We start from the raw sequence: 14,170 nt of genomic DNA on the forward strand, positions 1-14,170 counted from the left end.
CCTGTGCTTTCCTGCCCTACATGGATGTTACTCTGGTCCCTTTTTCTTTGCCTTATAAAAACATTGTATTGGGGCCAGGCATGGTGGCTCACGCCTTTAATCCCAGAACTTTGGGAGGCCGAGGCGGGTGGATCACTTGAGGTCAGGATTTCGAGACCAGCTCGGCCAACATGGTGAAACCCTGTCTCTACTAAAAATATAAAACCATATTAGCCCGGCATGGTGGGGGGTGCCTGTAGTCCCAGCTACTTGGAGGCTGAGGCAGGAGAATTGCTTGAACCCAAGAGGCGGAGATTGCAATGAGCCAGGATTGCACCGCTGCACTCCGGAGTGAGACTTCGTATCAAGACAAAAAACAAAAAAAATTATGTTGGATTTTACCTTGATATTTTATTTCACTTAGTTTAATGTGTAAAATTGGTTTTTCTCTACATTTCTTTTTAAAGAGCCATGTATTTTAAAATCAGTGACTCATGTCCAAGAAGTTCAAACACGAGTAGAGATAGCAGGAAGTGGTTTATTCTGAGGTCTTGAAAAGAATGAATTAACCCTGTAATCTCCCCAGTATTCTTTTTGATGTTCCTATTGACATCACTATATTCAGTGGGTGCTCCTTTCTATCTGCTACATTAGTTTTTGAAAGCTTTCTTTCTGACTCAGTTTATCTCATGTGCTAACTTCCTGAACCAATCCTGGAACTGGCCTTTTCTACCAGAAACACTCTTTTCTTTTATCATGGAATAGTATTAAAAACCACAATCTGGATCTTTTGGACAGTTCAGCTGTTTTTCCGTGGCTTTTTTTTTTTTTTCGAGACAGGGTCTTGCTCTGTCATCCAGGCTGGAGTGCAGCGGTGCAGTCTCGGCTCACTGCAGCCTCTACCCGCTGGGCTCAAGCAATCCTCCTACCTCAGCTTCCTGAGTAGCTGGGACCACATGGGACCACAGGTATACACCACCATGCCTGGCTAATTTTTATATTTTTTGTAGAGAAAAGTTTTTGCCATGTTGCTCAGCCTGGTTTCAAACTCCTGAGCTCGTGCAGCTCACCTGCCTCGGCCTCCCAAAGTGCTGAGATTACAGGCGTGACCCACTGTGCCCAGCCCCATGGCTGTCTTTTTCTTCTGACCCTGGTTTTGTAGTTATCCAAGTAGCAACTCTTGGTAAGCCTAAAATCTATACGCTTTAAAATCTGAATTCATAATATAGCAATTTACTAACTTGTGGTATTTCTAAGAATGAAATATGTATCATACATTTTAATTTTTACAATGATTCTTTCTGTCCTTCATTCCTGACATAAAGCCTATGGTAAATTAAATCTCATTTCCTTAACATACTGCTCAAACCCAACCCTTTCCCCCATTCTTCTATTAAAATTTGTCCAGAACCATAGAGTCACAGAATTTAGGAAATGAGTAGAATTTTGGAGCAGTGATTTCAGCTTTTCATAATTTCTTTCTCTTCTTTTGTCTTGCTGTGTTGCCCATGCTGAAGTGTAGTGGCTAGTCATAGGTGCCATCATAGCGCACAACAGCTTTGAACAGTATCTGGGCTCAAGAGATACTCCTGGCTCAGCCTTCCAAGTACCTGGGACTACAGGCACACTTGGCTCATAATTTTTTTTTTTTAAATGAATCACTTTAATGATGAAAAATGCCCACTTTTTGTGATCATAAGACATTTACTTGTATTCAGATATTATATGTATCATGCAAGGTAAATTTAAAAGGACCTTAAAAAGCATATTTTTGGAAACAAATTTAGTTGCTATTGCATAACAAAAAACTTACAGTGATTAAGGGAAACTGATAATTAGATGGATAACAAAAAATACCGGGTTAACAGAAGAGTATCGAAGGTTACTAGTGGATAAAATCTGGCCTTTTATTCTAAGTCACACCGCTGCCTGGTCAAGAACTGAAAACATTTGAAACATGCTCCATCACACTGCAGTTACCATACTCTCTTATCCTGACCTCATCCTTTTTGGTTACAGATTTATGGGAGCCAAGAGCCTCTAATGTTGCTTTCTCATTTTGCTTTAATTACTTTTAAAGGCCAATCTAGGGAGCACTTCCAAAACACATTGATAAAAAGGAAGTTAAGTCTTTGAAACATTTGTAGTTATCCAGCATACTACTGGCTATTTTTCTTTTGTATTGGGTGGGACAAAAAATAGTCACTAAATACTTGATATAAGCTTTTTTTTTTTTTTTTTTGACAATTTTACATTTTTGGGTGAGTAATTTTCCTCAAATTAGAATGCACAAGAAAAATCTGGTTAATCAGTGTTCCAGGTCGTTGGGCTCCTGTTAATCAGAAGTTTTACTGTATAATCATAATGTATTTTGGATGTTCTCATTTATGTTATTTCTTCAATTCTTTGTGTGGGTACTCTGATTGCTTGATTACATCTGCCTGGCATAGTCGTTTTTAAAGCAGCATTTATAATAAAATTTTCCATCTTTGCAAGTAAAATGAGAATATGGAAAGACAATTGATGGTTGAAGCATGATTGTTTCCTCTTGTCTTTACTTAGTGTTTAGTGGGTTTCAGGTTTTGGATAAAGAGAAATGAATATGATTATTGTCCTGGTCCGAAATGATTCATGTATCCACCTGGAGACGTAGAGTTGATAGAGGTGTAGGCTTACCTCTATTATCTCCTCATACAGAGCAGCGCTACTTCCTACGTATGTGCTTTACATTTTTGGGGATTTGCATAAGATTTTTTTTTTCCATGAAAATAAGGTTCTACTAAAACCAAATACAGAAACATTTGATAGAGAGATACTTTATAAGCACCTCTTAGGGCTGAAAGGGTTTCTTGTCTAGCATCCTGCCACTTGTAACACCAGCAAATTCTAGGCATTTGGGTTCCTATAATATTATTTTAGAGTCCTGTGGACCTAGCTATCTTATTATTCTAGTGTCCTCTTTTTTTTCTGGAGACAGAGTCTCACTCTGTTGCCCAGGCTGGAGTGCAGTGGTGCAATCTTGGCTCACTGCAAACTCTACCTCCCAGGTTCAAGCAATTCTCCTGCCTCAACCTCCAGAGTAGTTGGGATTACAGGCGTGCACCACCATGCCTAGCTGATTTTTGTATTTTTAGTAGAGGCCACTATGTTGGTCAGGCTGGTCTCAAACTCCTGACCTCAGGTGATCTGCCTGCCTTGGCCTCCCAAAGTGCTGGGATTACAGGTGTGAGCCACTGTGCCCGGCCATTCTAATGTCTTCTTTTTATCAAGACTTCTGGAGAGTGGACAAAAACTAACAGTTGTGGCACTCAACTTGGTGCTTTATATTATTATTGATGGGGTTTAGGACATGCTACTCCCAAATTTGGCACCTTGGCATATAAGCTGAAGGATTTGGAGAAAACAGCAGAAGCACGAAGGTCTCTGACCTTCCCCTTCCTCTCTTCCCTGAAGCAGGTCCTAAGACCTAGGAGGGACTTTCTGACCTTCTCTGAACCAGATCCTAAGACCTTCATGTGAGAGATGCCCTTCCTGTATCTGGAAGAGAGGAGCATCCTCATCCCCATAGAGAAAAGGACGCAGAGTAATCTGAGTAGTTTCCCCCAGTTTATGATACTTACCTCTTGCTCTCCGTGCTATCATTTCTCCATAACTCACCAGTCCTCATCAACCCTGTATAAAAACACTCAAGTTTAACTGTTTCTTTGGATTTTCATTTCCTTATGCAGGCTCCGGTGTCACGTACAACTTACAATTAAGTAAATGTGTATGCTTGTTTTTTTGGTAAACTATCTTTTGTAATAGGTGCCCTAGCCATAAACTTAGAAGGGTAGAAGGAAAATAATAGTTTTCCTCCTGTACATTATTTTATTTAATTCTTTAATCAAACTTAAAAGTCAGATATTATCCACATTGTCACTCAAAGAAATGGGTGCTTTAGACTCAGGGTCTAAAATTTCCCTTTTCTTTTGTTTTGCTTTTGGGTAGGAGAGAAGCATACCTCTTGAATTTAAAGACATTGGCTTTTCTACTCATTTTCTCTGAATGATTTCATTCACAACTTTTATTTTTGTATTTATTTTTTTGAGATGGAGTCTCGCTCTGTCGCCAGGCTGGAGTGTAGTGGCTCCATCTCGGCTCACTGCAACCTCTGACTCCTGGGTTCAAGCAGTTCTCCCACCTCAGCCTCCCAAGTAGCTGGGATTACAGGCGCATGCCACCACGCCCAGCTAATTTTTGGTAGTTTTAGTAGAGACGGGCTTTCACTGTGTTGGTCAGGATGGTCTCGATCTCCTGACCTCAAGATCTGCCCTCCTCGGCCTCCCAAAGTGCTGGGAGTACAGGTATGAGCCACCACACCCGGACTGCCATTCACAGCTTTTAATTCCGTCCTGTATTTGATGCCTTTAAAAATCTGTATTTTGGCCAGGCGTGGTGGCTCATGCCTGTAATCCTAGCACTTTGGGAGGCGGAGGCTGGTGGATCATGAGATTAAGAGGTCGAGATCATCCTGGCCAATATGGTGAAACCCCATCTCTACTAAAAATACAAAAATTAGCTGGGCGTGGTGGCGCGCTCCTGTAGTCCCAGCTACTCGGGAGGCTGAGGCAGGAGAATCGCTTGAACCCGGGAGACGGAGGTTGCAGTGAGCCAAGATTGTGCCATTGCACTCCAGCCTGGTGACAGAGTGAGACTCTGTCTCAAAAAAGAAAAAATCTGTGTTTCAGCCTGGACTTGTCTAATAACCCCTATACCTCTATATCTGCCTCCTGAACATGAATACTTGACTATTGCAGAGGCCTGTCAGCTCAGCGTGTGCAAAGTTGGAGTCATCATCTCGCCTCTTAAATATTTATCTCCTTGTATATTCTTTGTGTTTATTCCTTGTTCTACTTCTACTTCCTGCTCGGGGTGGGTTTAATCCTCTTGGTCATGATGGCCAGGAGAGCAGTCCAAGCAACAGGCTACTCAGCTGCCCTGGTCACCAGGAGAATGAACCTTTTTTCCCAAGTCAAGATTCTTTGCAGGCAGCAACGCTAACATGGAATGAACAGGTGATGTAAAAGTGATATACAAATATGCAGTTTATTGTTTATACCAACTCTGACAAGGTCGTAGGACAATCAGCAGTTAGGCGCCTTCCTCGAGGAAGGCCTGCATATAGGTCTGGTTTTTCCCATTTTATATTTACCTTCAGTTCTTTATGTAATGACTTCATCCTTTATCTCAGCAAATACCCCCATTACTTTTCTAGACCATGCCCTGTGGTGGAGCTAATGGCATCATATTTTGTTCTGTCTCTAGATCTATTTAAGTCACTAGCTTTTTTTTTTAAATTAGAGTGGCATAAACAAGAGAGGTAGATCCATTGTCAAGGTATTCAGTGTGGTTTGTGCAGAGTGGTTTTGATTGAAACTGAACTCTACCCAGTTAAATTCCCACTGGATTTTTGACTCATCTTTTATAGTCACAGGATGCAAACATGTACTTTCTTTTGTCTATTTCTCTGAGGTGTCAGTGATCTGTTCACGTTTCCTGGAAATTGTTGATATCCTGTTGTCTTCATCCATGTTATCTCCTGTGTTTAGCTCAGAGCCTGGCACAGAATTGGTATTCAGGAAATATGGATATTTGTGTTATACTAGGCATTATGCTGCAGGCTATTGAGAACACAGAGATTTATAAGGTGTTTACGGGTGACCTTACTGGCTAGATTAGGTGGTGTAGGACGTTATATACAAATACAGTGTCATAGAGTGACTTTTCCGAGGCACACTGTTTACCCAGAAGGAGTTCTTCAGTGCTTTTGGTTGTTTTCATTTGACTTTGTTGCATGCATCTATCCACACATGTACTATATGCAATATAGTATTTTAATGTGTTGGCTCAAAAACTGTTGTTTCTGCAATAAAAATAATTAGAAAATACACATATGGGCTTTTCTTTTATAAAATTGTGACTCCACATCATGCTCCGTAATGTTCTTGTTATAAATTTTGACTTGTTTTTCTCCACAGGCAGCAGAAGATGTCGTTTTCATTGGACCTGACACACATGCTATTCAAGCCATGGGCGACAAGATTGAAAGCAAATTATTAGCTAAGAAAGCAGAGGTTAATACAATCCCTGGCTTTGATGGAGTAGTCAAGGTGAGAAGCTACTTTAACTTTTATTGTATATGTCTTCAAGTTAAACATTTTGTCAAAAGTATAAGATAAAATGTAACTATTGCTTTTTTGGGATATACACACACACACACACATATGCACGCACATACATACATGTATATATGTTTAAAAAATCAGTGTTTTTACATTTATTTATTTATTTATTTGAGATGGAGTCTTGCTCTTGTCGCCCAGGCTGGAGTGCAATGATGCAATCTCGGTTCACTGCAACCTCTGCCTCCTGGGTTCAAGCGATTCTCCTGCCTCAGCCTCCCGAGTAGCTGGGATTGCAGGTGCCTGCCACCATGCCCAGCTAATTTTTGTATTTTTAGTAGAGACAGGGTTTCACCATGTTGGCCAGGCTGGTCTCGAACTCCTGACCCCAGGTGATCTGCCTGCTTCATCCTCCCAAGGTGCTGGGATTACAGGCGTGAGTCACTGCATCCGGCCAGAAATCAGTGTTTTTAACTGGATTATTTTATTATTTTTAGAGATGGAGGTCTCACTCTGTTGCCCAGGCTGGAGTGCAGTGGTGCAGTCATAGCTCACTGTAACCTTGAACTCTTAGGCTCAAATGATCCTCTCGCCATGACTCAAGAATCCCTCCTTCTTTAGCCTCCCAAGTAGCTAGGACTGCAGACACACACCACCACACCTGACTAATTATTTTTATTTTGTAGAGATGAGGGTCTCACCGTGTTGCCCAGGCTGGTCTCAAACTCCTGGGCTGAAGTGATTCTCCCGCCTTGGCCTTCCCAAGTGTTGGGATTACAGATGTGAACCATTGTGCCTGGCCAACTTGGATTGTTTTAAATAGCATAAGTTAAAAAGAGTGAGAAACTGTTTGAGCATTGTATTTAATGAATCAGCAGTGACTCAGACTTTCATAGGAAAAAATTTGGTGATTAAAAAATGTACTGTCAGATCTCTGGACTGCATTTAATAGTGGTATGTGTTTCATGTGTTAAACATTAAGAGTTTCTCTGTATATCTTTATCTTGAGCTTCTCTCCATGTGCATAATATGTAAGTTAGGATCATGTTTCTGGTGAAAGTGGTATAGCTATAGGTAATTGTATATTGCAAACATTTAGCAAGGGCCTTCTGCAGCTGAAGGCTTCTGAGGGAGAAATGCAGAAATTGAAGTATGCAACTTCTCCTTTTCCCATGAGAAATTATTCTGTTTTTTTCTAGTTAGAAGAGAGTCCTCATGTAGAGTTTTAACCTTGCGATTTGACTTAGCCTGCAGGAACTCTTCATTTCAGCATTTCGTATTGTTACTTTTGGCATTCTGTGTTGGGTTGTTCTTCATTGTGCAAGATCATTTCATGCATTAGAGGACGATTAGAAAACTTGCCCCCTAGTTAATAAATATCCTCAGCTTCTTGCCCATATTTACCTGCATTTACTTTTATCTATGTGTATCCATGTTGTTTCTTCCCACTTGTTACAAGGAAGAGGTGTTCCACATCCTCTGGAAAGCCAGTTCCTCCTCCTACGCTCCAAATGTATTCTTTATAGCCTTCACAGGCTATGGTTTTACTGATTATCTTTTCTCTCTTCTGTGTCTTAAAATTCTCCTCATCTTTTAGCTCCTTTTGTTATCATTGCTATTAAAAATGCTCAGTGAACAAATGTGTTGGTCACTCAGTTATGTGGGAAGGATGTGGTGATGAGATACACATGATCTGCGTATCATAGTTCTCACAGTTTAGTGGGAAAGAAACAAACATTTCTTCCATTCGTAAAGCACCATCACCCCTATCACTCTACAGCTAGTTGCCACCTTCTTTCTCTCTTCCCCTTTCAGTGCCAAAGCTCTTAGAATTGTCCTTCCTCACTTTCATTTCTGTATCTTTCACTTAATCTTTTCTTGCCGTCTAGCTTCTTTCCTCATTCCTACTGAATTTCTCTTGCAAAGCTACCAGCAACCTCTTCCCTTTGTTAAATCAATATGTAATTTTGAATTCTGATCTTATATCAATCTTTGAGCAACATTTGAGTCTCTTGGTCAGTCCATACTTCTCTCATGAGATACTCACTTTTGGCACATTACTCAGTTCTAGTTTTTGTGTTTTTTGGCTTTTTTGAATGCCATTCTTAGATTCCTTCCCGATTGTTCTTCCTATCTTTGTTCCTTAAATGGGGGTTTTATTCTGGGTCCTGAGTAGGACATTTCCTCTTTTTATTGTGCTAACTTGCCCTGGGCAATCTTACTTTTTTTCATGGCGTCAATTGCCACCTTTTCTTTTTTCTTTTACTATTATTATTATTTTTTGAGACAAGGTCTTGTTCTATCACCCAGGCTAGAGTGCAGTGGCATAGTCATGGCTCACTGCAACGTCAACCTCGTGGGCTCAAGTGCTCCTCCCACGTCAGCTTCTTGAATAGGTGAGACTATAGGTGTGTGCCACCACAGCTGCCTACTTTTTTATATTTTGTAGAGACGGGGGTCTCACTATTTTGCCTAGACTGGTCTCAAATTCCTGGGCTCAAGCAGTCCTTCCCCTCGGCCTCCCAAAGTGCTGGGATTACAGGCATGAGCCACTACACTTGGCCTATTGCCACTTTTCTGACCAATCTCAAATGTATGTATCTGTTCTGAACTTCAGGATTACATATCCAGTTGCTTCTTATATAGCTCTCACTACTTGATGCCTCTGAGGCACCTTGAAACTAACAATTAAAAGCTGAACTCATCTTTCTCCTGAAACTAGAGATTGGTACTATAGCCCATGCACACCTATTTTTATAAATAAAGGTTTATTGGAGGGCAACCATGTTCATCCCTTTACATATTGTCTGTGGTTGCTTTTCCACTACAGTGGTAGAGCTGAGTAGTAGACTCAATATGTGGAGTAGACTCAACTACATGGGACACATAGTAGACTATGTGACTCACAAAGCCTAAAATATTTACTTCCTGATCCATTAAGAAAAAGTTTGCCTATCCCTGCTCTAAAATTCTTATCCTTCATTCTTTTCCGCCTAGGAAGGTGGTGGCTAGAAACATAGAGTAATTCTTAACAAATGCGACTGTGGAGAATTCACTCAGATAGCTTTCTAATCCATTTACTTCTTTCTTTGCCCGTACTAACCAACCCCAGATTCCAGCTACTATCATCTAGTCTGGATTACTTCATCTGCCTTCTAATTAGTCTCCTTGTAGTCATTCTTGCTTCCATCCAATTAATTTTTTAAAAATTCTTCACCTCAAGTATTTATAATGTCTTTGTGTTACAAACAGTCTAATATACTTTTAGTTATTTAAAAATGTACAATAAATTATTGTTGACTGTAATCACTTTGTTGTGCTGTCGAATACTAGATCTTACCCATTCTATCTAACTGGACCCATTTTTGTACCCATTAACCATCCCCACATCACCCACCCCCACTCCTCCCCACTACCCTTCCCAGCCTCTGGCAATCATCATTCTACTCTCTATCACTGTGAGTTCAACTATGTTAATTTTTAGCTCCCACAGATGAGTGAGAACATGTCAAATTTGTCTTTCTATGTCTGACTTAGTTCATTTAACATAATGTCCTCCAGTTCCATCTATGTTGTTGCAAGTGACAGGACCTCATTCTTTTTGGTGGCTGAATAGTACTCCATTGTATATATGTACCACATTTTAAAAATCCATTCGTCTGTTGATGGACATTTAGGTTGCTTCCAAATGTTGGCTATTGTGGATAGTGTTGTGGTAAACATGGTAGTGTAGATATCTCTTTGATAGACTGCTTTCCTTTCTTTTGGGTATATACCTAGCAGTGGGATTGCTGGATCATATGGCAGCTCTATTTTTAGTGTTTTGAGGAACCTCTATACTGTTCTCCACAGTGGCTTTACTAATTTGCATTCCCCCCAACACTATACAAGAGTTCCCTTTTCTCTATATCCTCGCCAGCATTTGTTATTGCCTGTCTTTTGGATAAAAGCCAATTTAACTGGGGTGAGATGATCTCTCATTGTATTGCATTTCTCTGATGATCAGTGATGTTGAGCACCTTTTTATATGCCTGTTTAACATTTGTATGTCTTCTTTTGAGAAATGTCTATTCAGATCTTTTGCCCATTTAAAAAATTGGATTATTAGATTTTTTTTCTTGTTGAGTTGTTTGAGCTCCTTATATATTCTGGTTATTAATCTCTTGTCAGATGGATAGTTTGCAAATATTTTGCTCCCATTCCATGAGTTGTCTCTTGACTGTTGATTTCCTTGGCTGTGTGGAAGCTTTTTAACTTGATGTGACCCCATTTATTTATTTTTGCTTTGCTTGCCTGGGCTTGTGGGGAATTACTCAAGAAATTTTTGCCCAGACCAGCATCTTACAGAGTTTTTGCAATGTTTTCTTTTGGTAGTTTCATAATTTGAGGTTTTAGGTTTAAATTTTCAATCCATTTTGATTTGATTTTTGTATATGGCAAGAGATAAGGGTCTAGTTTTGTTCTTCTGCATCTGGTTATCCGGTTCTCCGAGCACCATTTATTGAAGAGACCGTCCTTTCCCTAAGGTATATTCTTGGCACCTTTGTCAAGTGAATTCACTATAGATATATGGATTTATTTCTGGGTTCTCTATTCTGTTCTATTGGTCTATGCCAGTACTATGCTGTTTTGATTGCTATAGCTCTGTAGTATAATTTTAAGTCAAGTAGTGTGATTCCTCCAGTTTTGTTCATTTTCCTCAGGATAGCTTTGCCTATCCTGGGTCTTTTGTGGTTCTATATAAATTTTAGGATTTTTTTTTCTATTTCTGTGAAGATTGTCATTGGTATTTTGATAAGGATTATATTGAATCGGTAGATTGCTTTAGGTAGTATGGACATTTTAACAATATTGATTCTTCCAACCCATGAATGTAGAATCTCTTTGCATCTTTTGTGTCCTTTTCAATTTCTCGCATCAACGTTTTATAGTTGTTTTTTTGTGTGTGTGTGTGTGTGTTTTTTTTTTTAGATGGAACCTCGCTCTGTTGCCAGGCTGGAGTGCAGTGGTGCAATCTCGGCTCACTGCAACCTCTGCCTCCCGGGTTCAAGCGATTCTCCTGCCTCCGGCTCCCTGGTATCTGGGACTATAGGCATGCACCACCACGCCCAACTAATTTTTGCTTTGTTTTTAGTAGAGACGGGGTTTTACCATGTTGGCCATGATGGTCTTGATCTCCTGACCTTGTGATCCACCCACCTCTGCCTCCCAAAGTGCTGGGATTACAGGCATGAGCCACTGAACCTGGCCTATAGTTTTCATTGTAGAGACCTTTCACTTCTTTGGTTAAGTTTATTCCTAGGTATTTTATTTTATTTTATTTTATTCATAGCTATTGTAAATGGGATTATTTTCTTGATATCGTCTTCACTGTTGGCATATAGGAATTCCCATCCATTAATTAATGATACTTCAGTTTGAGTGACCAAAAATCCAGATTTGATCGTATGCCTATCTTTAATAACTTTTGAATGACTACTCATATAAATGTTTTAAATGGTTGGATTTTGCTTAGCTCTCCAAACTGATACTGTGCCAGTCTATCCTTTGCATTGTATGTATCCGCCATACTTGACATCGTTCAGATTCTTGAAACTTATGTGCTTAGTCATATCTGCTTCTGTCTTCATTCCTGATTGTCTCTTAGTCATTGTTTAGGTCTTGGCTTAAATGTAAATTCCTCACATAGGCATTCCTTAACTGTCTTCATTAGATTAGGCTCTCTGCTGTATTTTTCCTTAGGACCCTACACTTAACTCATCACATTTTAAATCATTTATTCATTCATCTATTCAGTAGATATTTACCAAGTGCACGCAATTTGTCTGACACTGTTTGAAGTGCTGTTGATATAGTAGTGAACAAAAGAGACTGAACATATTTTTATGCCCTCAAGGAGCTTACACTATAGAAGGAAACAGATGATAAATAATAAAACATATGTTCTATGTTGAAACATAAGAGAAAAAGACTGCTGGAAGGTGGGGCTATATTCACAATTTTATATACAGGCATGTCTTCATATCTACAAGGGATTGGTTCCAAGACCTACCCCCTCAGATACCAAAATTTGTTGATGCTCAAGTGCCTTATATGAAATGGGGTAGTGTTTGCATATATCCTACGCTCATCCTTCTGTATACTTTATTTTATTTTTTATTTTTATATATTTATTTTTTTGAGGTGGAGTCTCACTTTATTGCCCAGGCTAGAGTGCAGTGTCATGATCTCGGCTCACTGTAACCTCCGTCCACCCTGGGTTCAAGCAATTCTCCCACCTCAGCCTCTCAAGTAGCTGGGATTACAGGCATGCACCACCATGCCCAGCTGTTTTTTGTATTTTTAGTAGAGATGAAGTTTCACCACGTTGGCCAGGCTGGTCTTGAACTCCTGACCTCAAGTGATTCACCTGCCTTGGCCTCCCAAGTGCTGGGATTGCAGGTGTGAGCCACTGTGCGCAGCCCTGCCGTATACTTTAAATCATCTCTAGATTACTTATAATACCCTAAAACAATGTAAATGCTATGTAAATAGTTGTCCCACTGTGTTTTAAAATATGCAGTATTTTAATTTTCCTCCCTTTCCCTTCCCCTTCCCCTCCCCTTCCCCTTCCCCTCTCCTTCCCCTTTCCCTTCCCCTTCCCTTTTTTGGGTTTAATCCATGGATACAGAACCCAAGGATATAGAGGGCCAAGTGCATGTTTAGCAGACCATCTAAGGAAGTGGCAGGACAAGTCATGTTGCTATCCTGGAGAAGAGCAAAGCATATTAGGCAGAAAGAATAACAAGCGCAAGATTGTTGGTTGAGGTTGAAGTGTACCTGCTACTGAATAAACACCGAGGAAGCATGTGATTGGAATCATCGAGAGAGACAATTTAGAGATAAGGTAAAAAAAGATAATGGTGTAGTAGGGAGCTTAGATTTTTAGGGCCTTACAGGCCATTTCAGTATTAGGTAAATGTCTCCTTCCTACACGGAGCGTAAGCTTCTGATGGCAGGGATGCTGCTCTCTTTATTACTGTATCACATGCACATGGTGCCTGACATATTGTCAGTGCTTAAGTCAATGCTCAGTCAGTGCTCACTAGGTATTTGTTGAATGAATAATATTCTAGGAGATAAATTTTATACATATACTCATTTTATATACGTTGCCATTTAGTACATATTGTTTAGTCACATCTATTAGAGGCACCAAAAGAAACCAAAAACCAAGAGAAAAAATTAAAAGACAATAGAAACATATCCACATATGCTTCAGATATTGGAATTGGCTGAGATAACTACGATTTATATGCTAAAGAAATCCAAGGAAAATATGGAGAAAATAGATAAGTATATAAAGAATTTCATCCGGGTATGGTGGCTCATGCCTGTAATCCCAGCACTTTGGGAGGCCGAGGTGGGCGGATCACCTGAGGTCAGGAGTTCAAGATCAGCCTGATCAACATGGCGAAACCCCGTCTCTACTGAAAATACAAAAAATATTTGAGTGTTGTGGCAGGTGCCTGTAATCCCAGCTACTCGGGAGGCTGAGGCCTGAGAATCCCTTGAACCTGGGAGGTGGAGGTTGCAGTGAGCCGAGATCACGCCATTGCACTCCAGCCTGGGCAACAAGAGCGGAACTCTGTCTAAAAAAAACAAGAATTTCACAAGAGAATTTGAATCTATTTTAAAAATTAAATACAAGACTGGGTGCAGTGGCTTACGCCTGTAATCCCAGCACTTTGGGAGGCCGAGGTGGGTGGATCATGAGGTCAGGAGTTCGAGACCAGCCTGGCCAGCATGATGAAACCCCGTCTCTACTAAAAATAGAAAAATTAGCTGGGCGTGGTGGTGCGCACCTGTAATCCCAGCCACTCGGGAGGCTGAGTAGGAGAATCGCTGGACCACAGGAGGTGGAGCTTGCAGTGAGCCGAGATCATGCCACTGCACCCCAGCCTGGGTGACAGAGCGAGACTCCATCTCAAAAAAAAAAAAATTAAATAGAAATTCTGTAACTGCAAATATATGAAAATAAGGACTTTAGA

At 40.3% G+C, this 14,170-nt stretch overlaps 1 protein-coding gene across 35 annotated transcripts in view; it reads left to right on the forward strand.

The window, feature by feature from the left end:
* Positions 1-14,170, forward strand: part of PCCA (propionyl-CoA carboxylase subunit alpha) — a 441,343-nt gene that overhangs the window by 114,243 nt on the left and 312,930 nt on the right. For 34 of the 35 annotated variants that reach the window (NR_148030.2, NR_148027.2, NR_148028.2 and 31 more), the window contains one exon: positions 5,997-6,128. Coding sequence is in view for 25 of the 35 variants with exons in the window: in XM_017020609.2 (XP_016876098.1) it covers positions 5,997-6,128 (132 nt within the window). In the remaining 10 variants the exon portion in view is untranslated. Of the gene's footprint in view, positions 1-5,996; positions 6,129-12,848; positions 13,027-14,170 lie in introns of those variants that run through there. The other variant, XM_047430376.1, reaches the window with a different exon arrangement.

Source organism: Homo sapiens, chromosome 13 (genome assembly GCF_000001405.40).
Source record: "Homo sapiens chromosome 13, GRCh38.p14 Primary Assembly".
NCBI classification, from domain to species: Eukaryota; Metazoa; Chordata; class Mammalia; order Primates; family Hominidae; genus Homo; species Homo sapiens.